The sequence below is a fragment of the Homo sapiens genome, chromosome 4 (assembly GCF_000001405.40).
Source record: "Homo sapiens chromosome 4, GRCh38.p14 Primary Assembly".
NCBI classification, from domain to species: domain Eukaryota; kingdom Metazoa; phylum Chordata; class Mammalia; order Primates; family Hominidae; genus Homo; species Homo sapiens.
The window spans coordinates 182,217,462-182,244,987 of record NC_000004.12 but is presented as its reverse complement, the minus strand read 5'-3'; the positions used below and the strand labels follow the sequence as shown (position 1 = coordinate 182,244,987).

Sequence of the window (27,526 nt, the reverse complement as noted above, 5' to 3'; positions counted from 1 at the left end):
CATTGATTATGGAATGTAGACATTACAATAAAAAGAGACTCTAGAAATTTAATTTTGTGAAGAAATGCAAGATTCTCATTAATTTAATTAGAACATAAATAACATCAAGCATAGCTAATAAAGTTCAACATGATTTGATTTGCATGAGGCTCTATTAATGTAAGAAGTAAAGTGATATTTGCAAACTCTCAGAAAGCTGGACAGTTGGAATGGTTTCCTAAACAGCTATCTATTAGGCTACACAAAACTTGGTTTTTCTTTCCATATGTTACACATCATGAGAATTACACAAATCTATGACAGGGACAAAAGTGTTCCTGGACCACTGGAGGGAAGAGCCTGGGAACTGAGGATTCCAGGAGACCCGTCTTCCTCTTCATATTCTCCTCTTGTCCATCAGTTTAGGAGCCAGGCTAAAGCTGAGGCATCTTAAAATTTCGGAATGGGAAGGAAAAATAACATTAGCTACCCTGGAGGCTGTGGAAATAAATGCATCTGAATGCAAAGGACAGTGACTTGCAGGCTGCCTGAGATCCAATAAAAGCCTCATCAGAAGTAGCTGTCAATCACTCTAACATGTATGGCTGGTTCCAATAATTCTACCAGTCAAGATAATAAAATTTCAGAACACTAAATCAGCTCACAGCAAACCAGTTAAAAATATTTTGTGATCGCCGTGACCACCATGGTGGTCTAATACCCTGGGTTATATGTTTTAATAGAAAACACAAATGAGGCCGGGCGCGGTGGCTCACGCCTGTAATCCCAGCACTTTGGGAGGCCGAGGCGGGCGGATCACGAGGTCAGGAGATCGAGACCATCCCGGCTAAAATGGTGAAACCCCGTCTCTACTAAAAATACAAAAAATTAGCCGGGCGTGGTGGCGGGCGCCTGTAGTCCCAGCTACTCGGGAGGCTGAGGCAGGAGAATGGCGTGAACCCGGGAGGCGGAGCTTGCAGTGAGCCGAGGTCACGCCACTGCACTCCAGCCTGGGCGACAGAGCGAGATTCCGTCTCAAAAAAAAAAAAAAAAAAAAAAAAAGAAAACACAAATGATTCCATTCTTGGAAGAGTCTATCAGTTAGCACTTTGAGAAGACAGTCAGCCCTGAGTGCCCTGCCTCTCTTTCATTTCCTTTCCTAAGTACTGGAACCTCAGTCACAAAAGAAAACCAATATTTAAGTCAACAGACATACATTTAAAATTATTTCGCTGATGTGACTATGAATTTTACTTATAAAACAAGGACGTGCTGAATAGTTCACAGTATTTTTGGTGTGTTCATTTCAAGCATCTTGAACTGCTCTTTTCCTCAGCTTCCGTGTCCCAACACTGCCCAGATTTGCCCTCTCCATCTTCAACTACTTTTTTCCAGTCTCCTTTTTAGACTTGTCTGCCCTCCCCAGTTTCCAATACCTCGATACTCTCTTCTCATCTTCTCCTCCTTTTCTTCTAGGCTGTCTCATCCGTGCCCTCAATTCCCACCTCTCTACAGATGACTCAGCAACTTACCTTTAGTTTATCCTTAGTTCAGACTTCTCCTCCAAGCTCCAGACCCATCTAAAAGCCTTCATGGCCAGGTGCGATGGCTCATGCCTGTAATCACAGCACTTTGAGAGGCCGAGGTGGGCGGATCACTTGAGGTCAGGAAATCATGACCAGCCTGGCCAACATGGTGAAACCCCGCCTCTACTAAAAATACAAAAATTATCTGGGCGTGGTGGTGCATGCCTGTAATCCCAGCTACTCAGGAGGCTGAGGCAGGGGAATTGCTTGAACCCGGGAGGTGGAAGTCTCAATGCGCCAAGATCACCCAACTGCACTCCAGCCTGAGCGACAAGAGCGAAACTCTGTCTCAAATAAATAAATAAATAAAAGCCTATGTGACATTTACCCTTAAGACATTCTAAACACATCTCCAATACATCTAAAGTTGAATTCATTGTAGCCTCTCTACCACATAGTCGCCCTGGAATGCTTCTAATCTCAGTGAATGACATCACCGCCCAATTATGCAAGTCAGAAACCTAGTGATTATCTTGCTTACCTCTCTCTTAGCCTCCGCTTCTAATACATTATCAACTCTTGTCAATTTTATTTCCATCTCTGATAAGCACTACCCACATACAGGCTACCATCATCTCTCATCTGAACCACCACGGTAGGAAGATCTAGGGTACAGTTCAGAGAAAGCAATCAGGCAGGAAAACCAGTAAGTTTTATTGTTTGAGACAGGGCCTCAGTCTGTCACCCAGGCTGGAGTGCACTGGCGCAATCTCAGCTCAATGCAACCTCGACTTCCCAGGCTCAGGTGATTCTCCCACCTCAGTCTCCCAGGTAGCTGGAACCACAGGCAAGTGCCACCACATCGGGTTAATTTTTGTATTTTTTGTAGAGACGGGTTTTCACCATGTTGCCCAGGCTGGTCTCAAACTCCTGGGCTCAAGCAATTCACCCACCTCAGCCTCCCAAAGGGCTGGGGTTATAAGCATGAGCCACCGTGCTGGGCCACCAAGAAGTTTTAAGAAGGCAAATTGACTGGATTAAGAAAATGTGGCACATATACACCATGGAATACTATGCAGTCATAAAAAAGGATGAGTTCATGTCCTTTGTAGGGATGTGGATGAAGCTGGAAACCATCATTCTCAGCAAACTATTGCAAGGAAAAAAAAACAAACACCGCATGTTCTCACTCATAGGTGGGAACTGAACAATGAGAACACTTGGACACAGGAAGGGGAACATTACACACCGGGGCCTGTCATGGGGTGGGGGAAGTGGGGAGGGATAGCATTAGGAGATATACCTAATGTAAATGACGAGTTATTGGGTGCAGCACACCAACATGGCACATGTATATATATGTAACAAACCTGCACCTTGTGCACATGTATATATATGTAACAAACCTGCACCTTGTGCACATGTACCCTAGAACTTAAAGTAAAATAAAAAAAAAAAAAGAGAGAGGAAAAAAAAAAAGAAGGCAAATTGGTGGAAAAGGCATGTGGCTGACAGTGGAGAAAACAGATGAGAGCAAAACTGAAAAGGGTCCACTGGCTTCAGGAATAAAGAGGTTATTTGTGACCACGGAGAGTCATTTCAGTGGAGAAGCGTTTTTAAAAGAACGGTCAAGCCTTGTGCATTTTACCTGTCTGGAAAAAGAAAGGGAAAAGGAAAGCCGGGCCCAGTGGCTCATGCCTGTAATCCCAGCACTTTGGGAGGCCGAGGCAGGTGGATCACGAGGTCAGGAGTTCAAGACCAGCCTGACCAACATGGGAAAACCCGTCTCTACTAAAAATACAAAAATTAGCTGGGCATGGTGGCACATGCCTGTAGTCCCAGCTACTCAGGAGGCTGAGGCAGGAGGCCTGAACCTGAGAGGCGGAGGTTGCAGTGAGCCAAGATCGCAGCATAGCAACAGAGCAACAGAGTAAGACTCCGCCTCACAAAAAAAAAAAAAAAAAGAAAGAAAAAAGAAAGGGAAAAGGAAGCGACTGAAGATAGGAGAATGTGGAAAAAAATTAATGGAGCCAAGGATCCAGAGGAAGCAGAGGGGAATGCCACACAGGGCCCAGGTAGAGGGGGCACCACTGAACAGAAGAAGGGATGAAGGCATGTCTTTTTTGTTAGAGAAAAACAGAGAACATGTGTGTTGACCTCTCATTATTGAATGAATCAGAAGAAAGCATTGTCAGAAATGGAGGTGAAAACTGTTGTTACAAGAGAACAAAGTATTGGGATAGTAATTGATTAAATGAACATTTATTAAGTGCCCAGAAGCTGAGCTCTGGGAAGCCAATGGTAAACCAGAGAGAAGCTATAACGATTCACATGAAAATCCCAACTCTGCAAGGAATGAAATTTCAGCACGAGTGTTAAACTGTCAAGAATGGGAGCAGATTAAGGGGACCATGTGGAAAAAAATCTTCAAGCCCGATGACAAAAGCCTCAAAGATGCAAGCAGGCATCCTTGAGGCTGTAGGTGGTGATGAGAAGCGGGCTTCAGAGAAGGAGGAAATACTGAGTGAAGGTCAGTGGAGCGGGAAAGAGAGGCAGTGAAAATGCCATCCTGCCCAGGGGCCTCAGAGGCCAGATCTGAGGGGACATAGCAGGCTGGTCTCAAAGCCCTGTAATACAGTAATCCTATGACAAACAGGCAAAACAGCAGCCTCTGGAGCTGCATTCCATCCCAGGCCCTTACTGTCTCCCTGCTCCAGGCTCTCTGGGTGGACAGAAGACCTCCCAGGCTGTGTCCATGGGGAATGGCACCATGAGGAACACCCTGCTAGATCCTGCCTTTCCCTGCTCTCGTGGGCTGCAGGGCCGGGACTCGCAGGGAGAATTGCCAGGCTCTGATGGTAATCACCCACATGCTCAAAGTGCACGCAAGATAACTTGAAGAAAAGTCAGGCATTTTCACTCTGAGATCAGCATGCTGATGACACATGGTCTACATCTCCCCTTTTATCTCTAATCCTGACACCACAGTTTCACAACGTATTCAGCATCTGAGGAGCCTAACAGGGGACTGGGATCAAAGTGAGCCAGAAAAAGATTAATCCCGATAAGACAGAGGTTATGATGATAGCCGGGAGAAAATATTTAAAGAATGTGGGGAGCGCTCTTCTGTGTCTCTCGTAGGAACGTGTCTCTCTCCTACTTGCTGGGTCACTTCTGGCATTCCGTTGATCTCAGTGGACGTCCATGACAAGACAAGCCCAACACAAGCAGGCCTATTTATGGTTCCCAAACTCAGAGTCAGTGACAGACTAAATAGGCTCTGACTCTCGCTCTGAAATATCCGGGTGGCTGTGGCTAACCAGGGTCTTCATAAATCATGAGTTTAATTAAGGCAACAGCCAATATCCACTTTTTCTCCCCATAGAAGTTCCCCCACTGCAGTCATCAGCAAAGCAAAAAATGCTGCTTAACTTTCCCCCAGTTTCACTACTCTACAACTGTTATTACAGTATTGTTTTTTTCCCAGCCATTTTAATTAATGTTGTTTTGTGAAATTTCTTCCTGAATCTATTTCTCTGAGAAGTTTAATTTTAGAAAACCAAAGTGTCAAATGATCTAGCATTAATTACCCTATTTTTACACTTTGAAAATAGCAAACTACTAATCAATTTTTGTTTCTTCTTTATAATCAGATAGGTGTAATGATTTTTTTCCAGTAAAGCTTTTTTTGCGATTATTTGGGATACAGTATTACTATAAGCAACAAATATTAGATATTATTGTCCTTCCTTCTTATTTCATTTGAAGTATCCATAGTGGTATTTTCTCCCTACCCTGTCTCCGCCCCTATTTGGTTTGAAATCTTTTCTAACTAGACCTCTTTCAAGAAGGAAACTCTATAAAACTAAATCATCTTTTTCCTGCAAGATAACCTGAACTCTTGAAGAATCCACTTATTTGTATGACAATGTCAAAGTTTTTGCAGCATGCTAAATGTTAGACTGTAGTATTTTAGTAAGTTTCTTGCCAGCTTTTAGAAACAAAATATATTTTACTAATAATGGAAAGAATTCAATAAATTAAGCAATGAAAGGAGCAGAAGCAATAGTTTCAATATTGTAAGGGACTATAAGCAAGATTTTTGGCCGGGCGCGGTGGCTCATGCCTGTAATCCCAGTACTTTTGGGAGGGTGAGGCAGGCAGATCATTTGAGGTCAATAATTCAAGACCAGCCTGGCCAACATGGTGAAACCTCATCTTTACTAAAAATACAAAAAATTAGGCAGATATGGTGGCAGGCGCCTGTAATCCCAGCTACTCGGGAGGCTAAGACAGGAGAATCACTTGAACTCAGGAGGCGGAGGTTACAGTGAGTCGAGATCGTGCCATTGCACTCCAGCCTGGGAGACACAGCGAGACGCCGTCTCAAAAAAAGAAAAAAAAAAATACACACACACACACACACACACACACACACACACACACACATAAAGATTTTTAAAGTCTAAGAATATTCTTGGGGAGATTTTATTTTTTATATAAAGAACATTTATCTAGAAGAAAGAGCTGTTCAAAAATTATAATATCAGTCCTTTATCTCTGCCTCTGTTTTCTCTTGCTTGTTTCTGACACAGACTCAGATGTTAGTATGAATGAGTCACCGCGGTAGGTAACTGAATTAAAAAAGAGAGGGAGAAAAGGTACTTGTGTTTGTATTTTTATAAAACTTTTAATAATTTTCACAATACAGTCATCACCATTATCTAGAATTACAATAGTTAAAAGTTACAAATGAAAAGATGATTCAGTCCGTAGGCACAGGTCAGCTCTTCACTGAGCACCGACAGTCAGGGAAACATTCCTTCACTTATTTATTCACCCAATACATACTTACTGAGTGCTGTCTGCCCGTCACTGCCCCAGGTCCTAAGAGACTCATCTCGGAACAAAAAGGCTCTGCCCTAATAGAGCACCCCTGCTAGTGAAGGATTCCGATCAAAAGGGAGTGAACACAAGAATTTCAGAGGGTGATGAGGACACACAGCAGAGTAAGGGCATAGAGGCTGGGTGGATAGGGCAGGTTCCCCTGGGCGTTGCATTTGGCCTGAGATCCAAAAGATGATAAGGAATCAGCCATGGGGGAAAACGTTCTGGTCAGAGAGAAGAATAATTACAAAGGCCTTGGGGAAGGAATGAGCTTTATTTGTTTTAGTTCTTAAAGCTCTTCCTCCATGACTCAGTTGTTGGAAAACTTTTGGGAAGTCATTTTGATAGACAGTTGCAGTATGGCTGGAGGAGGATCCAGGCTTCCGACGACCCCAGACTCACATATCCTGAGGCTAAAGCAGCCAAGACACGAGGAAGGGAAGGGCATTATTTATGAGACCCTGAGACTGTTTCTTCACCCTGACATTCATTCACTCCTTCATTTATTCATTGTCTCATCTTATTTAAAAGTAACACTGTCAACCAAGCCACCTGTAGTCTTAGTGTATGGAAAACAAAAAAGAAACCTATATATTTTGGTTGTGGTAGCTATTATTTCTAGACATATTTGCCATTTCTTGGCCTAAATATCATAGGCTGGACTTGAAAATTTTCCAAAATTCCTTTGGGATTCTTTTACAGGTCCACAATCTCTTATATGTATCCTAAAACCCAGAAAGCAGAAAGCAATAAAAACAGAATGAAGAAAATATATTTGGTGACAAAACTTAACCTGTACTGACTTATCCTCTTTATCTCCATAAGTTTGAATATTCATGAGTTTTATGGAAGAAATGTTAACATGTTTAATTGCCAGGTATGGCCTCAGACTTAACTTTGCTGTGTAACAGACAATACGGCCACGACATTACTTTTCTAAGACCCCAAAAGATCCAGAATTCCGAATGAATTTTGGCTAAAGGATGCTATAAGAATCTCTAGACTTGAACTCCTGACCTCAGGTGATCTGCCCGCCTCGGCCTCTCAAAGTGCTGGGATTACAGACGTAGCCAGGCATGATGGGTGCCTGTAGTCTCAGCTACATGGGAGGCTGAAGCGGGAGAACTGCTTGAACCCAGGAGGCAGAAGTTACAGTGAGCCGAGATAGCACCATTGCACCCCAGCCTAGGCGACAGAGTGAGACTCCGTTTCAAAAAAAAGAAAACAGAATGTCTGGGTTTAAAGGAATATAAATCATTCTGTTATAAAGATACATGCATATGTATGTTTACTGCAGCACTATTCACAATAGCAAAGACATGGAATCAACCTAAATGCCCATCAATGACAGACTGGATAAAGAAAATGTGGTACGTATACACCATGGAATACTACGCACCCATAAAAAGGAACGAGATCATGTCCTTTGCAGGAACATGGATGGAGCTGGACGCCACTATCCTCAGCAAACTAACACAGGAACAAAAAACCAAACACTGCCTGTTCTCACTTATAAGGGGGAGCTGAACAATGAGAACACATGGACACAAGGATTTTCAGGTCAGGAACAACACACATGGGGACTTGTTGCAGGAGGACAAGGAGGAGAGCATCAGGAAAAATAGCTAATGTATGCCAGGCTTAATACCTAGGTGATGGCTTGATAGGTGCAGCAAACCACCAGGGCACACATTTATCTATGTACCAAAACTGCATGTCCTGCATGTGTATCCCAGAACTTAAAGTAAAATAAAAAGCATCTCTGGGTTTAATATTGCATACAGAATACACAGCAAATCTCAGTGGGGTCTGCTACCACTGTATTTACAACTATTAAAATTATACTGCTTCATGTTTTGAGGTTTAGGCTTGTTCACAGATTCACACTCTTCTGAACCTTATGTTTTACTTCATCAAGAAAAGTTTCTTAATTCACATACCAGAGTAACCTTGTTGAAATATTTTCACATACATATTATTTAACATACATTTTCCGTATACATTTCCCATTAAATTATTTAACGTCTACACTGGGAAAAACAAGTTTGTATGGTCCACTACAAAATCATGTGAAATAGAAGTAATTGCCCAGGGATGAGCATATCATGAAAGGAAATCAGGCATTTCACACAGCTGAAGTAACTGTTTATAAGAATTAATGTCCATATTATGAATAGGCAGATGGTCTATTTAACCAAACATGTTCTAGTTTGTCATTTCTTATCAACCACACTGATGCAGGAGTGATGAGAGTAACTGCAGGCGTATTTGCAGAAAGCTGTCTATCAGGAGGCATTCTTTAAACTTGTTATTTCAGAAGTATTAACTGCAGAAATATGATGTCTTATTCAGTGTAAAGCACAAAGCTCAGGATAATTATATATTACTTGTTTAGTTATCTTTAAACAACAGCTAAAAATCTCAGGAAATTTTTGCTCTTGGGGGAAACAGTGTGTAACATGTTGAAGCTTTTGGTTGGTTAGACCTGCATTTAAAGGGACTCTGCTCCCGTTTCTTCCTTCACTATCCTCCCAAACAATCCTTCCTTCAGATTTCTCAATACAGTGAGCCAAGGCAAATGTGAATCTGGTCATGTCACTTGCCTGTATCAAACCTTTCAATGCTTCTCTTTGCCCTTGGGATAAAGTTCCCCTAAACAGTAAGCTCCAAGAGGACAGGGGATTTTTTAGACTGCTTTGTTCACTGCTCTAGCCTCAGTGACTACAGCAGTGCTTACACATGGTAGGTGCTCAACAATTCTTTCCTAAATGGTTCACTGCCTGAATGAACACAAGCACAGATAAAGCTCCTACCTCCTTCCTAACGCCAGGGTTTTTGTATCTCATTGGGTCAAGTGCTCAGCATGTTTGCTTGTGAGAGATGGCTCGTGTGTGTGTGCAGTAGTTCCAGCTTGTGAGAGATGGCTCCCGTGTGGTCGTGTGTAGTAGTTCCAGCTTGTGAGAGATGGCTCCCGTGTGTATGTGTGTAGTAGTTCCAGCTTGTGAGAGATGGCTCCCGTGTGTACATGTGTAGTAGTTCCAGCTTGCTGTTTGCTCTCTGCTATTCTTACTCTAAATCTTGGAGCACACCGAGGCCAGTTCTGCTACTCTTTAGAAACTGCAGAATTGGTGCATGGAAGAATCACAAGACAACATCTGTCTTTACTAACACTGGAGATTGCACGCTACAGTCTTCCTGAAGAACCACCGCCTGGGAAGGTAGATTTTTGCTGCAAGTTCCACAGAAAGACCACGCCTAACCACATATATTTTGAGATATCTGAGATCACAGACTTGGAGAACATTTTTAACCTATTAATATTTTTTTCCTATGATGCCCACATGCTTTCAATCCAGAATCACTACTGTGCCCCCAAGGCATTTCAGAGCTATAAGAAGCACAAGTGTTTGGCATCCCAACAACTATGTTTCCTGCCCACAGGAATACTCAGAATATGAGGGCCACTGGCTTCCAGTGAGGTCCAAAGATGGCGGGGCAGAGTGGGGGAATACTGAGGAGTGGTTTTTTTGTATTGGCCAGTGAAGCACCTCACTGCCTCTATGTGTGTGCCCTGACTGACTCAGCTTTGATGACAGTGACCTCTTGGTCTAAAATGTCCTTCCCAGGCCTGTTTTCCATGCACCCTTTAAAATGCAGCCCAGGCTCATTTCACCTCCTCCAGGGAGTCTCCCCTATCCCATCTTCCCGCAAGTTAGCTTCTCCTGTGGTTTCCATAACATTCGGTATATCTCTATCAGTACACTTACTAGACTGTATTAAAGTCTACCTGCGCCTGTCTCACTCACATTCTTGAGAATAACGACTGTGTTTTCTTTCATTTTTTTTTCTTCTTTCTTTTCTTTTGAAAGGGAATCTTGCTCTGTCACCCAGGCTGGAGTGCAGTGGTGCAATCTCGGCTCACTGCAACCTCCGCCTCCTAGGTTCAAGTGATTCTCCTGCCTCAGCCTCCCGAGTAGCTGGGATTACAGGGGCCTGCCACCACGCCCGGCTAATTTTTGTATTTTAGTAGAGATGTTGTTTCACTATGTAGGTCAAGCTGGTCTTGAACTCCTGACCTCAAATGATCCACCCACCTTGGCCCCTCAAAGTGCTGGGATTACAGGCGTGAGCCACTGCACAGGGCTGTGTTTTATTTCTATTTCTAACTGTAGCATTTAACACAGTATTTCACACATAGTAGGTTTGTTGAGGTGAATATTCTTGCTGAATTTAGCTCCCATGCAAATAATTACTAGCAGTAGGTGTGGGGCAGGAGGTAGCACCGTGATTAAGGAGAGAACCGTGCTCTGTACGACTATTCCCTCAGAACACAGGGGCCACTCGCTCTGTGGATGAACGAACTTTTGTGGATAGTAAGCCTGTATTCTCACCTCTAAGACAGAGGTTAGAGAGAGAGAGAGACTGACAATCCAAGGGTTGTTAACGTGGAAAGAACTGACAGGTGCCATGAGGGAGCCAGGCTTTCACGGTGAACTTGGAGGTTTCTGCATTTGTCAGACACCCTAAACCCCTAAACCAGCTCTGCTCCTATGGCTACTAAGGCCGATAAAGGAATCAACCACTCGTGTCACAACTCCCCAAGTTGAAACACAGTAATAACAAAAATCAGACGCCTGGAAAGCTGGAAAAGCCGAAAGGCGTAAAGAGTGACTTAACCAAGAGAAAACCATCCCAGATAGTTGGAGCAAAAGCCTATGCCTACATCCAAGAGAATCCGAGGGATTTCTACCAGATGTTGCATATCTGCAGTTTCCTCTGAAGTGAAAGAGAACAGTCCCTTCTAAAGTGATTCCTTTTTTTGTTCAATGGGAAAAAACTGGAAATATCTTGTCACCTAGGACATTGTCCTTTGGTAAAAGAATTTACCCAAAGTTGGGAAGATAGTGCTGGCATATCTGCTTGACGATAAGCTGTAACAGTGACCACGTGTCAAATATACAGCAAGAAAATAAATGAAATATATGCTAGAGAAAGAATCCAAACTTCTGTGAATTTTAAGTGGTTTCCAGAATGTCCTCTTCCATAAGCAGCATACAGTTTTGTAAGTGTATGGTGCTGCCAAAAAAGTATTAAATGCAGGCAAGCCACAACTTACGAACAGGTTGCATTTCAGAAATTTGTTTTGAGGCAGTCTTGTAGGAATTTGGAATGCACATTTCCCACTGAAATTGTAGCATACGTCGGTCAGGTTCCCAAGTCAAATTAACCCCTAATGCACACAGGGTGGTTTGCCTGGCAGGCCAGGAGCCGCCACCATGCAGAACAGTGCCAGTGTGGGATCATGTGTGGACGTCTATCCAGGATAGATGCCTGGAAGTCTTACTTTCTCCTGTGAGAAATTAGTGGGAGGCATCCGGGAATTTCTGTCATTCCCTCACCGCTGTTTGGGGCTCTCCGGCTCCTGTTTGGCTGAGCACGGAAGGTGGGAACATCTCTGGCTTCAGGTCCCTGGAGCGGCTTCTGGGTGATCTGGAAGCCTGGAGACCCCTCTCCTGTGCACTTCTGAGGCTGTCATGTCTACAAGAGTCTCCCCTTATCCTCAGTTTCACTTTTTGTGGTTTCAATTACCCAAGGTCAACCATGGTCCAAAGACGTTAAATGGAAAATTCCAGAAATAAAAAATCTGTAAGTTTAAAGTTGCGTGCTGCTCTGAGTGGTGTGATGAAATCTCATGCTATCCTGCTCCATCGGGCCAGGAATGTGAATCCTCCTTTTGTCCAGCATATCCATGCCATATAAGCTACCCACCCATTACAGTATAGGAAAACACATGGTGTGTATGGGGTTTGGTACTATCCAGGGCTTCAGGCATCTGCTGGAAGTCCTGGAACACATACCCCCAGAGAAGGGGGGAATTCATGTATATATGTCTTTTTTTTTTGGATGGACTCTCACTCTGTTGCCAGGCTGGAGTGCAGTGGCGCGATCTCCGCTCACTGCAACCTTGGTCTCCGAGTTCAAGTGATTCTCCTGCCTCAGCCTCCCACCACACCCAGCTAATTTTCGTATTTTTAGTAGACATGGGGTTTCGCCATGTTGGCCAGGATGGTCTCCATCTCTTGACCTTGTAATCCGCCCACCTTGGCCTCCCCAAGTGCTGGGATTACAGGTGTGAGCCAACGCGTTTGTCCGTATATATGTCTTTAATGTCTGGACAATCACCAGTTTGTTAGGTGTACATAATAGGTATACAACAGACATTTTGCTAAAGTTCCCATATATCTGATCTGATAATAGGGGTAGCAAGTGCTCCAGTACCTCTTCCCTTTCCTCCTTAATCTTTCCTCGGCTGAAATGAAGGAGAGGATTCTTTCCAGGACCAACACGGTGGCCAAGTGAGAAGTGAGAGTTACGGCCCTGAATAAAAGTGAAATCCGAGCCCTTTCAGCCAGAAGGACAGAGGAGTGAAGACGCCAGTTCCCGGAATAGACATTTGTATATACGCTACCAACAATTAATTTTTCCAAAGACCTCAAAACAAGATAAAACAAAACAGCTAGAGATGCCTGTAGTATGGGGAACGGGACTCCTGAATTGGAAGTGTTTAATTGTACCTCTAGTTAGCAGGAAGTTTAGGCAAATGATTTTCAATGCATATCACAGGCACATACAAAAAATATGCAAACCAGGCAGGACTCCAGCCAACTTAATTTCAGGTGCTTTCCAGCCATTATTTTCCCTTCTGCAGATTCATCTCACACCCAGATCTTTAGAAATGGCTGGCAGAGACTGCATGCCACTCTATAATTCTTTGGGAGTCTGCTGGTTCCTTAACCTCGGGTGCATCCCAGGCTCGGAATGTCAGGGATGTACAAGCATGCCAGCTGTTCCAGAGTCCAGCCTGGTACCAAGAGCATGATGTTGTTGGCAGTCATCAGCTGCATGTTACTGCTATTCTAGGAGAGGAGGCACTCCTGAAACAGCTGAGAGGACCTCATGGGGCGAGAGGCAGGAACATTCCTGCCCTGGGCATCACCCTTTGGCCAGAACCTTCTACTGCTGGCCAGGGTTCTCTGCACTTTTTAAGGTCATAAGCAGCTGCCCGTGAAATATAAAGCTGAGCAAATGGGCACGGAGGCAGAGAGTTTAGTGTACTCAAGCAAGACTTATCACAAAGCTGGCTGGCCCATATTTATAATAACAGACATAATTATGCATGCTAGAAGAGGCTGTGGGCCAAAGATAAATACCTCTACGCGTTCCTTTTTTTTGTTCTCCTGGGGTTATCTAAGTTGACAATCAAAGCTAATCTGACTCAACTGCAGCTCCCAAGACCAGTACTTTTTGGTCTGGTAGGACTTGGTCAGAATGAGTCAGGCACCCTCCTCGGGAATAGCTTAGACCCCCTCGAACATTCAGAGATACCAAGGAAAACAAAGAAAGAGGATGGAGGTTGGGGAACTAGAATCAGAAAAACATTTCTGGAATTTTCTGGGAACAAAGATGTAGAACAAGAAAAAATAGGAAGCTCTTCAGAGGTTCTTCTGACCCTGGAACACAAGGAGGCCCCGGTAGTCAACCTTCCCCTCCTTCCAGCATACAACAAGCTTGGGCCTGGGAGCTGGGAGCCACTGAGTGTTAGAGACCCTCAGGTCTGGCCCAGGAGAGACACTTGTTGGTCAGGAGAATTATGAGGCAGGGCTGCACCCACTCCGTTGCTGGGGAAACCTGCCTCTTCGTGTGCTGTAATTATCGGAGAACAGGAGGTAGAAGGGGGATATATATATATATATATATATATATATATATATATATATATATAGTTTGAGAAACTGTATTTAATATAGCTATTGTTTTCATAACACAAAATTTAAAAATTAAAAGAATACAAACTCCAGAAAATAAAGCTCAGAAATATTTCCCCATCTGATGGGGATAGGTGGGATGGGAAAGCCTTTGCTGAAGAAGGTAGGACACCCTGCTTTGCGTAGGAAGGGTGCAGATGGGGAGGTTAAAGCTGTGAATAAATAGAGGGATGCTCGGCACAGACCATCTTTCCTTCCTGGAACGCCAGCGCTGTGACAGCAGTGACTGTCTGTTTTGGTCACTGCTCTATTGCAAGCACCTAGAAAAGAGTTTACAACACAGTACGTATTCCAACAAATATTCTCCTAATCAAGAGGTTCGCCAGGGTTCAGAAGGAAGTGCTGTGGAGGATGGAGGAAACGTCACGTCCCCATCCTAGTGCACGTGCTGAGTAGCTAGAGGTAATAGGAAAGGACTCAGAAGCATGGTCCCTGAGGTCTCTTCTGACCTAAGACTTGCTAGAATGCTCTGCGAGCCTAGGTGTGAGGAGCCTGGTGGAAGACGTGTGCAGGGACATTTTGCGCTTCATGGGGCTTCGCTTGGGGCTGGAGCCATGCCCCTGAACAGTAGTTATTTAGAGATCAGGTACACTGTGTTCTTCACCTCAGTCTCTGGGAAGATTTTTTTTTTTTTTTTTTTTTAGTAGCATCAAGCAAGCAGCGGACATGAAATTTCTCTGTCTGCTTATATCTAATTAACGTTCAGTGAGTCTCTGGCTACTTAAAATAGGGAAATAATGCATATTTATTCACACATGCTTTGAGATCTGCAGATAAAAATGCTGTATTACTACCAACCACAATGAATACACATACTTTAAATATAATTATCAATTACCAGCTACCACCTGTTGAGATAACTAACGACAGTGCCTTTAAACACCATCCTTCCAAATTTTAGAATTGGAAACATTCTTCAATGTTATGTACACTGTATTCAACCAATTCATTAAGGAAATTCTTTGTTACTCTTATTATGATTTATGTTATCACAAGAGAAATGGAAATTAAGCTCTATGAGTTACTAAAATGCCTGAGGACCTGTAGTTGGGGTTTGATCTTCTTACAAAGTCATCTTTTGAAACTCTTTTAAGACAGGCTTAATTATATATACATATATGTGTGTGTGTGTGTATATATATATATACACATATATATACACACATACACACGCACACACAGTCTAAGGTCATATTGCTGCATTTTGAAAACAAAATTTTGCTCTCTTGGTAAATCAAATATTAAATGGTTAAAATGCATAGCAAGTGAGATGCATTTTTACAAATACAAAGTCCCTTGTGCAAATCAGTTCATAAACCATGCATAAATAGAAGGTATTATGTTACTCTTTCCCCACTCGGGACCACAGATTGCAGCTAAAACCGTAAGACTCTGCTTATAGATGAGCAATTATTACGGGGTTTTTATTCTTCAAAAGCTATTAACATTTTTATAGCATAAGCAAAGTTATTACAAACAACCTCTAAAATGTGAAGAATGATTTTCCTGAAACTCCTCCCAAGTCCTCGCCTCAACATAAGGCAGTATATTTGTTTACTGAAAAGAAAAAAAATAGTAAGTAGGTTAAAGCTGAAATGAAAATGCTGCTGGTGTAAAGTCAAGAAAGTTTGAATGAAATTCCATCGAGCTGTTCTCAACGGCATATTTTCTGAAGTGCAAGGAAACAAAATACAAAGCAAATATATTTGGGTGTTTAAGTCATCATTAACAATATTAGAAACTTATTTACACGGGGCTGTCAGTGTCATCCACCAGCCCAACCTGGGTGTAGCTTGGCAGTGACTTCTGAGACATGCCCCATGACAGTAGGACTGCACAAAACTTCAGGCTTCTAAACCACAAAGGAAAAGATGTCAGTACCTTTGTGCTGAAGTCTACAATGGCATTTTACACAGTCCTTTTAGTCATTATACAAAAATCCATCATTTGACAGAATAAAACAAAGATAGAAATCCTACCATAATGCTAGGAGTGAAGGATGAATTTCTGAAATCAGCTCCTGTCCCTCAAAAGCTTGATGGTTCATCCTAAAAAAATAACTGTGAATATAAAAATACATTTTCTCCGCATTCTTAACGAACTTTCTTGATGCTATGTTGTCACGAAATGAAGAGACACCTGATAACTAGATAATTTATCTATGTAAGACACCAATTAGCAGTGACAAGACTGACTTCATGTGTCATGCTCCTCTTTGAACCGGTAGACCCTAGCATGAAGCTTGAACAGGCACCAGGAGAGAAATCAATAGGGTGGGATGTGAAGGGAAAATACCTATTTTTAATGACTCAGTTGTCCAATTTCCAACATGCAACCTTGGAGTTGCAAATTTTAGAGCTGGGAGGGATTACATATACACACACACACACACACACACACACACACACACATTACATTACATTATATATATTTAAGGTATATAACATGATGTTATGAGACACATATAGATAGTAAAATGGTTACTATAGAGAAGCTAAAGTATCCATCATCTCACAGTCTTTTATTTTGTGGCAAGAACAGCTAAAATCTACTCACTTAGCAAAAATCCCCACCACAATACAACATTATTAACTGTGGTCCTCGGATTGCACATTAGATCTCAAGAGTGTTCATCCTATATATGTGCTACTTTGTATCCTTAGACCCACATCTCTCCATTTCCTCCTCCTGCCCCAACCCGCTCCTGGTTACCACTATTTTATTCTCAATCTCTGTATATTTGACTTAAAAACACTCCAAATATGAGGGAGGTCATGCAATAGCATAAGTTCACTTACATTTTATTGCTAAGAAATGTAAATGGAGTGCTGAAACGTAAAGTGACTTGCTCCAAGTCAGCGGGTCCCTCTCTGCCGCTCCACCCATTCTCATGAAATACTGAGATATTCACCTTACCCTTAGTATGCGTTCCTTTAAAGGAAATTTCAAAAGCCCTGAACCTCAGGGCTAATATAACCAGAAAAAGTAGATTCTAAAGTGTTGAAAAGGAATTTTCTGCTGGGACAGGAGTGGTTTGGATGCATGACTAGAATCTTCTTTGCCCGGAAGCCACTGAAAAAAGGAATATTTTGAAATGACAACAAGGTTGAAAAGGAAAAAAAAAAAAAAAAAGCCCTGCACATCTACACGAAGAAAAAAATTAGACTAAAGCGAGGCTTCTTAGTAGCTAGTTTCATTGTTTCTCACTCATACACTGTAAACCATGTGCTGAGAGTAAAAACTGGAGAGACCACTGACGCCTACGGTTTGGGAAAGATCACGGAACTCTCAGTATGTGGCTAATAATGATGGCCATGCAGCCATTCCACCGACAGTGGACACTGGCCAATAAGAGGTAATCGTGGAATCAGGGACAGGCTTGAGGCCTTGAATACCCCGGCATGGGACCCAGGAAGTCACAGGGACCCTATGGCTACATGACTGTGGGTGAAGCTCCAGGGTCCAGGACAATGTGGACCTCCACTTAAGCACTGGGGAGGAACAGCTCTGAGAAATTAATGGGGAAGCCAGGCAAGCAGTACTGCACTGTCCACTCTCTGAGGTCACTGGACAGAAATGAAGCTTATCAAATACAGAGTGTGAAACTTGAAAGAAAAAGCCATTGTGCCTTGATTCCATGGAAAGGAGTGTCTACTGCTTGAGCTGTCTTATATAGTAACTGAATTTACAAATTCAAAGAGATAGAGGTTGCTGGATGATAAAAGGAGAGCAGCAGCAGGAGTTACGGCAGAAAGGATGAGTTAAGACAGACAGCTTTAAACTGCCATTAAGTAACTGCAGGAAGATCCTAGGCACTGTTGCAGCTCTACCATTTTTGAGAGATGCATGATGACCAAAGACCATACCCAGTCATACTATATGTATGGGTCAGGTGAATATCTCAGTATTTCATGAGAATAGGTGGAGTGGCAGAGAGGGACCCACTGACTTGGAGCAAGTCACTTTATGTTTCAGCACTGCATTTACATGTCTTATCAATAAAATGAAAGTGAACTTATGCTATTGCATGACCTCCCTAACATTTGGAGTAATGACTGGGTATGGTCTTTGCTATAGATAGAGCAAAGCAGCATGGGTCCAAGGTGGAGGGAGGCTCTGCTCCATAGAAAAGGCTGGAGACTCAGCCACTCCATCCTGTAGACACCAAGAGGAGCTTGATGATTTTCATAATCCACAGCTGCATTTTATGTAACGCAGTTACTTACATATATATATGCTCATCATCAGCTTGATTCTAGTTTATTTTAGTGTTATTTTAGTTTTTCTCAATTAATATCTTTATTCGTGATGAACCAAGTTAAAGAAGCCTATTTGGGCATTGTTGAAATAGAAACTCATTACATTCCATTAGTCATCTTTCTTGTCCAATTTTGGTGCCTAGATTGAGGCAATCAAGAATAAATAGATCACTTGCCCTTGGACTCCTGTCTGCTTCAAGGGCTAGCTCTGCGTGCATTCATTCACTCTTAGCACAGTCTCCTAGGAATCCAGCCTCTTCTTTTTTTCTCTTTCCTTTAATGGGCTGCCACTTTCTCTACTTCTCCAATTTCCTTTCTCTCAGCCTGGCTAAGGAGTAGGACACCCCACCCAGCTTTTCGGTCTTTGCTGTGCCTGAAAATAGGCACGCAGGCCTTTTTCATTTACAGATTAAAATCTCCAACAAGGAAATGGATGGAATAAGAAAACTCACAAACAAGGAACAGTGATCAACGTTCTAGCTATATTATAAAATACTCAGGGTAATTGCCCTTGGTCTGTATTTCCCGATGGTTCCTTACTTGGATGATATTTCAAGGTCTCCATTAAAAGGTGCCTGTTGCTGAGCTGAGCTGCTTAAGGGTATGATGTTGGATTAAAAAGCTGCCACTGCTGCTAGATTGGATCAAATTCTGAGCCCCGTGAGACCCCGGTCTAACCTTCACTCCAGGCATGGCCCACTGCTTTGTCAGACTCCAGGCTATCTTAGATAAGAAAGCCACTTTCTTCCCTGACTCTTGAAGCTTTTTCCTTTGGGCTCCAAGCAACTCTTCCTTGATTTTGGAGACATCTCCCGTGTCCCTGGTTGGCCCTTTGAAATCTCACCATTATCTGCAGTTCCTCTTTCCCTCAACGAACCTCAAGGCTCCTCCCGTGGGCCTCAGATCATTTTGTGTTCATCTCCCGCTGTCGTCAGTCACTTCCCCATGGTTCCAGCTCTGAGAGGTCCTAACCATTCCACATGCCACAACCCCAGTTTCCTATGTACCACAGAATTCACCACTGAAAAGATCAGGTGCCAGGTAATAGGCTCTGTTTTGCCCATCGGACTGTGCAAACATCGGGGCCACTTCAGTTTGAAAGCAAAATCCCCAAGGGCCCCAGGCCTCCAGCTAACATCCCAGCATCCAGAGACCAGGCTCCAACTCATCTCTCTAGGTCACTGATATTTTCCATGTTTAGATGAATCCTGATAAGATCTCTTCTCAGGGATGACTGTGAAACTTAACTGCTAGATATATCCTGAGACCCAAAACAACAATAATTGCTGCCGTATATTGAGTACTCAAACATGTTACAACAGGCATTGGGCTACAGGCTTTTCAGAGTTTGTTTCATTTAATCCACAAAAGAAACCTATCAGACGAGTATTTTCAACACCACCTTCTGATGAAAAAAAGCCAGGATAGGGGGTGAAATAACTTGCCATGGTCTCAAAACTGGTAAAGATGTCTGACTGAGCCAGGGAGCGGTGGCTCCTGCCTGTAGTCCCAGCACTTTGGGAGGCCAAGGTGGGCAGATCACGAGATCAGGAGTTCGAGACCAGCCTGACCAACATGGTGAAACCCCGTCACTAAAAATACAAAAATTAGCCAGGTGTGGCGGCGCGTGACTGTAATCCCAGCCACTCAGGAGGCTGAGGCAGGAGAATTGCTTGAACCTGGGAGGCGGAGTTTACAGTGAGCCGAAATCGTGCCACTGCACTCCAGCCAGGGTGATAGAGCGAGACTCCACTTCAAAAAAAAAAAAAAAAAGATATCTGACTGAAAAGTTCATGTTTTCAACCTGCATACTCCATTGCCTTACTGCAGAAATAACTAAGCTTGGCATGACAGGGCCTATTATGGGCTGTGCACACTTCCCCTAACAATCCTCTCCCTACCTCACCTGGGGCCAGACTGTGGTTTGTTTTTATGTCCAATTTTGCAATGCAAAAATAAGTTAAATATACGTTTTAAATAACAATAATTTTGAAATTTAAGAAAGATTTCTGTAAAATTCAATTTACACAGTTTTCGCCTTTGAAAGCAGAGGATTATTGCACTGGGAGGATTACCTTTGACAGAGTCGGCTAGGCTACAAGGTACACAAACAACTGTTACCCAATACATGCCAGGAAAAGAATTTTCTCCCATTTGAGAATTCCAGCCAGAAATATAGGGCCTAGCTACTCTCCCTGGTAAAATTAGCAAAGCCAGGATTTCCTTTTCCATACGTTGTCTAATTTTGTCACTTTTATTCTTATTCAGGAGACTGTTCAGCAAGAATAAGAACGGATACACTAATTAAAGGACCTCATGTGCCCATCAGAAATAAAAATCTTGAGAAATGATTGCCTCATTTTTCAATTAAAATATTAAGGAAATTTATCCGAAGATACTTAAAATCTTTTAGAAAGCAGTTTGATTTATGATTCGATAATATATATTGTGGGGTACATAAAATAAGCCACACCATAATCATTTTTCAGAAATTCAAGTTTTGGATTCTGAAAGAGGATAATCTTGGAAGGACGTTTTCACCATCTTTCTTCCATTGCCTCTGGTCAAATACAGTCACAACAGATCACTTTAATTGGACTGAAACTATCTGCTGGACAGGCCACTGCTTTTAGTCACACACGGAGGGCAATCCTTTAGCTGCCAAGTGGTAGATAGAAGTACTAATAATTTACCAGTCAATTCCATTCCTTTTTTTTTTTTTTTTTTGCCAATCTATCTCCATTTGCAGCAGTGTTCTATGATTATATTCATACACGCAAATGCCCAAACACACACACTCAATATTACAGAAACATCTAGTGCAAAGATCAACTATGAAGATTTAATCATGGCACTTAATGTCTCTGAGCCTCAGTTTTCTCATTTATATAAAGGAGATAACACTGTTTTCTTCAAAGGGCTTTTCATTTTTAGGAGCAAATGAGGTCACATTAGGTGTGTTAAAACATGTTATAAACTGTAAGGTGTAAGCATGTAATCAACCAAATACATTTATTCATATTATTATCAACTGATTTCCCTGCTGCTTTCTATGCCAGCATAGGCCGAATGGTTCTTGTCACTTTTAGCAAATGGTAGAAACCCCCTCATAAAAAAAAAATGTTATTAAAAGTGGTATATAATTTTGAAATCTCTAACATTTTTGTTGTATATGAAATCCAGTACTGATTTTATGTATACATTGTCTTTCTTGCCCAAATCAATTCTGAGGAGAAAATATGTGATTCACTGCAGCAGATGAGGTAGGAGTAGACAGATACATATTTATGCAAGAGAAGGGATATGAATGATGATTAACTTGTTTTTACCAAAACAAGGAAAGTAAGGAAGGTATTATATTCTTTCCACCTCATTTTCCCCTACCATAGTTTCTTCTCTCTTTTTCTTTCTTCTCTTTCTCTCATTCTTATTGACAAGCTGCTGAATGCATGGAGAGAGTGCTCAGAATGTCAAAACCTGCTTCCTATTTGTGCAGACCAAGACCAAACTGTTCTTGTAAAACCAGTCAGGTGAGGTCCAGAAGATAAACCATGCTTGACTCTCTCCAAAGGATGGCTGGATTCAGAGGCTCTCTTAGGGACGAGCTTGTCTTACAACGGGATAGGACAAGAGAAGGCCCCTTAACTGTGACTGGCAGCAAACTCAAATTCATGTTTCATTTCAGGAACTTTCTCCAGAGCAGACAAAGAACTGCAGAAGGCCCTCCTCCCATCCCACTGTAAATTAAAATGTACTAATAAAAAAGAATAAATCACTAAAAGTTAGACAGAAAAATGGAAAAAGCAGAAAGAAGAGAGGTTCTGAATAAATGTAAAATATGGCCCTGAAATGGAAAGCCAGCTTATGATGATGCACGATTTCTTGTTTTCTCTTCAGAGGAAAGAAAACCACTTTGCAACGATAAACTACTAACCAAGGTACAATCCCATCTCCTGTACTCTGTGTTCACGATGTGTATTAACACATTTCCTCCTATATTTTCAAACAGATAAGCCTGGAAAAAGGAAGAACAAACCAAGAAGCTAAAGGCACATGGCCACATGCAAGCACACACAGAATCACTGACCAGTTTGCTTGGATCTGAATTTTGCTGTTGGTTTGGAATGTGAGCAGGAAGGAGTTAAGCGAGATTTGTTGATAGCATATGTGCAGATAATTTTCTACATTTCAATGAGTTTTGAAGACCTCCACGCTTCACTGACTATTGTTAAAAACATACTGAATTGGTTATGACAACCTGCGGGTTGGTTTACACCACAGTCTAAAAATTGGGAAATTCAGTTTAGAAATTTGATCAATATTCATACCATCTCACATCATAATTCAATTGGCAAAAATGCAGTAGAAAACTCCCCGGGGCAATCCTGAAGAACAACTTACATTCTAGTGGTTTAACATGTGTAAACCTCCTGCCTGGAATCGCTGATGGAGGTTGATGGAAGCCTTGAACTTTAACAAGGACTTCCAGGTGTTTTGATTGAGGGGTTAACTGTGACAGAAGAGAAATGATCAAATTAAGATGAATATGTCAAGGCAAAAACTCAAGATGCTTTTTTTTAAACTCTCCACAAGAACTCTCCCCAAAAAGCATAAAGAACTGTCAAAATAGGATCTTGCTTAAAATGCAAAAGGTATTTTCAAAGAGAGGATGACATTTGCATACAATATGTGCCGAAGACTGATGATACGCTGAAAATGTCTTATTTGTAGATTGGGTCTATATGACATCAAATGCCAGGATTTTTTAAAAGGATTTAAAATTTCAGATTGAAAAATATTTATTGATGTCTTCCTCTGATTAATTTAAACATCTGAATATTAGCAAATGTCTGAATTTAGAACTTACATAAAGGATCGTGATTTCTGAAAATGGATGGTATATATATTGAAAGGCAGCTGAACATGTATTAGTTAATTATACAAGACTACATTTAAAGGATGGAAACTAATATAGTTTCAAGTGTTAGGCTGCCAGCATCATCATGATTTCAGCTCTGGTATTTTTATTCTAGAATGTTCTCCCATGTGGCCCACCACGAGATTTTGGGTAGTGGCCACTTTATACCAATTCCTAGATTATCTCTTCATTTTGGGACAGCAACACAGTGCTAAAGCCACTCTTCTAAGGCTCAGTTTCAATAAAGTTTCTGGTCTTTACAAAATAAATGTCAAGGCAAATCCTTAAAAAGATCAAATATTCTAATATTACTCACCTGATTCTCTAGGCTTAAAAACGGCTAACTTTTATAGCAGGGGGCCTCTAAAGAGCAAATCGCTTGTTTATCACATGTAACAAAGGCACGGTGTCTTTTTCCTCCTTATTTTGATAAAATCAGCACAAGTGAAATCAAGAACTGTTTCAAAATGTTAACATTTTTCTGCAGCAGTGTAACTGCATTTGAGCTAAGGTACTTAAGCACACACACAGAACAACCATGCTTTTCATCGAGAATTTTAAATAACTTGACATACATAAATCTTCATTATTTCTGATTAAGCGAAGGGGTAAAACAAAACTCTGCTAAAAGATATGTAGATATCTTAGTTTCGTATGCTGGGGCTTAAGACTTCTTCTAAATAACACTTACAATAATCTCTCCAGAAGAAAAATATTCTTTCTATGATGGCCTTCACAGAGCTGTTGATTATTATTTAATATTACACAGGATTAATTACCAGTTATTAAAGGGGAACTAAAAAAGGGAAAAACTATGGTCTTAGTAAACACATAAATGTACACTGTACATGGGCTAGTTCTTAGGTAATTATACAATACCATGTAATGTAATCATAAGACTACAATTTTTACCTAAACTTTCCATCCATAAGAAAATACTACTACCTGTTCATTGCTTTGTGGCTAGCAAGAAGCATGAACCTTCTCTGCGCAGTTTCCTATCAATCTACAGGGCCACGGACTCACAGCAGTGCCCCCCACATTTGGACCTGGAATCGCAGCATGCTGCGTGATGCCAGAAGAGACTGTAGGACGAAGTGAAGGGTGAGGAAGAGATCGGCCGTCAGAGCCCTGAACAGTGTAAGGCAGGAGAGCTGAGATGAGGCCCTGCTCTTCTTTATCAAGCCGACTTTTTTTTTTTTTTTTTTTTTTTTGTGAGACAGAGTCTCACTCTGTCGCCCAGGCTGGAGTGCAGTGGTGTGATCTCTGCTCACTGCAACCTCCGCCTCCCGGGTTCAAGCGATTCTCCTGCCTCAGCCTCCTGAGGAGCTGGGATTACAGGCTCCCGCCACCATGCCCGACTAATTTTTGTATTTTTAGTAGAGACAGAGTTTCACCATGTTGGCCAGGCTAGTCTTGAACTCCTGACCTCAGGTGATCCGCCCACCTTGGCCTCCCAAAGTGCTGGGATTTCGGGCATCAGCCAACGTGCCTGGCCATAAAGCTGACTTTTCACAAGCCACCAGATCAGAAGATGCTCCTCAGGGCCAAACCACATGCATTTTGAGTTCTTCTTTTCATTTAATATGGCCAGACTTACGGTTGACCTGTGTAAAATGTTTTCCAGGAAACTGAAAAACCAAATACATACAGAGGCATATTAAATATTCAGCTTTAAGTACAATCTTGCCAAACAATATGCAAAAGAATTTCCCAAAACAGAGGTGATTTGCCTTCCCCTTAGGAGAGTAAGCAGACTTCATCATTTGACTGTATGACAGTCAAACTTGATAAGTGTCCATTTGCATGAGTTTGCAATGTAAACTGAAACAATTATTTTAAACCATCAGTTGGATATTTTAAAATTGGATTTTAAAGAAGCCTGATGGTATGTGTTTTCTTTTCCTTTCTTTTCTTTTTTTTGTTTTTGGAGATTGGGTCTCACTGTAGCCCAGGCTGGAGTGCAGTGGCGCGATGATGACTCACTGCAGCCTCAGCCTCCTGAGCTCAAGCAATCCTCCGGCCTCAGCTTCCTGAGTAGCTGGGATTAAAGGCATGCAACACTACGCCTGGCTAATTTTTTAAATTTTTTCTACAGGTAGGGGTCTCACTATATTGCCCAGGCTGGTCTGGAACTCTTGGGCTCAGGCAATCCTCTCTGCTTCAGCCTCTTACGGTGATGGGTTGGATTTTAACTGCCATCATTAGAATGGAAGCTTTCATGTTTTAATTCTTACGTGGTTTTGAGCAAATGTATTTGATGACAACCTTCAAACTAGGAGAAATGAATTTTTTTCTTCATCTTCAATTACTTCGCTCTCTTCAAAATATATTATGGTTTTTATTGTTTTTGTTCTTGTTTTTGTTTTTGGAGACAGAGTCTTGCTCTGTCACCCAGGCTGGAGGGCAGTGGCGTGATTTCGACTCACTGCAAGCTCCGCCTCCCAGGTTCAAGCGATTCACCTGCCTCAGCCTCCCGAGTAGCTGAGACTACAGGTGCCCGCCACCACGCCCAGTTAATTTTTGTATTTTTAGTAGAGACAGGGTTTCGCCAGTTGGCCAGGCTGGTCTCCAGCTCCTGACCTCAGGTGATCCGCCTGCCTCGGCCTCCCAGTGCTGGGATTACAGGCGTGAACCTCTGCACCCGGCCTATTATGGTTTTTAAAAAAGAAACTCCAGGGATTTAATATGTATGGACATAAAGAATTACAACATAATTTGTGGCCACTTTCTTACTAATATCAGTATACTGTCACACAAATCAATGCACTGGGTCTATCAAATTTTCATGATTCTTTTTCTTCTTATACATTATGTTTGCGAATATATTAGGTGTGCACTTTCAATATATTTGAAAATTGAAAATAAGAAATGATTAAATTCACTTTCATTCATCAATGAGGTTGTATAATATGAAATTGCCAATAATGGATCATTTTGACCCACCAAAATTGCAATCCCATACAGTTTAACCTAATTTGGTAGGATGTTATTTATAGAACAGTAAAGATCACAAGATTTGAAGTCACTTACTGCATAATTTTAAGCACATGATTTATCCTCTCTGGTTTCAATTTTCTCATTTATAAAATGGGGCTAAGATGACCCTACTCACCAGGGTCATCAGGCAGCTTAAATGCAATAATATATGAATTTGCACAATTACTAACACCCAGGAAGTTATCATGAAATTATCGTAAAAACTGGAAGAGTAACAGAGGCCTATATAATATATTCAATTATAATTCCTGTTAAAATATCTCTAGAAGATTACGGGATTCACCAGAGACCAAGGACATCCTTTCTTCCACATGCCCCAGATTAAGGCCACCATGATGTGAGGCTCTCAAGATGGTCTTTCTACACTGCTGCATGGAGGCAGGACAGACTAGTGATTCAAAACATGGACTCCGGGGTCAGGTATATTTTGACTGAGGACTCAACTCTGCTGCCCATAACCTATGTGATTTTGGGCAAGGAACTTGGTCATCCATAAAAGAGGACCTATTAAACATAAGAAAATGTAATTAAGGTCCTTAGAACGTTGCCTAACATATAGAAAGTGTTAAATGTTAACTGTTACTCGGTTTTTCATTACTGTTACTCCGATGACTGTCTCACCCAAGTCCTTTAATTGTGGCTGCAGTCCAAGGAAACTATTTATCACCATTGATAGGCTTTCCACATTTAATTGAAATCTTTCCTTCTGTTAGGCAGAATACCTTTCTTTTTATGGGGCTTTAATATTCATAACATTATTATTCATTGTTTTTCTGCCCCAAAGATATCAAGAATAATTAAAAGAGAAATCTCAAATAATATCACAAAATAGCAATAGTCATATTGTGCACAGGTTCAAAGCACAAAAATTGGAACAAACTGCCTAGATTCGAGTCTCAGTTCTACCACATGTTGGCTTTGTGGCCTTGGGCACATGATTTGATATCTCCAGGCCTCAGATTCCTCATCTGTAAAATGGGTATAATGTTACCCATCTCACAGAAGGGTTATGCGAATTAAAGAGTTAATACCGGTAAAGTACCTCGAACAAGCACCTGGCACACAGTAAGCGCTCAATGCATGTCAGTTATTGTTACCACAGGCACTAGGTTAGGCGAGGGGTTCATTCAG

The 27,526-nt window shown here is 41.8% G+C and overlaps 1 protein-coding gene across 22 annotated transcripts in view; it reads right to left on the bottom strand.

The window, feature by feature from the left end:
* The window catches only part of TENM3 (teneurin transmembrane protein 3), a 1,355,412-nt gene that overhangs the window by 558,037 nt on the left and 769,849 nt on the right, over positions 1–27,526 (bottom strand). Inside the window, exon 1 of one of the 22 annotated variants that reach the window (NM_001080477.4) lies at positions 1,512–1,586. The exons of the other annotated variants lie outside the window; for them this stretch is intronic. The gene's annotated coding sequence lies outside the window, so the exon portion shown is untranslated. Of the gene's footprint in view, positions 1–1,511; positions 1,587–27,526 lie in introns of those variants that run through there. 22 annotated transcript variants of the gene reach the window in all.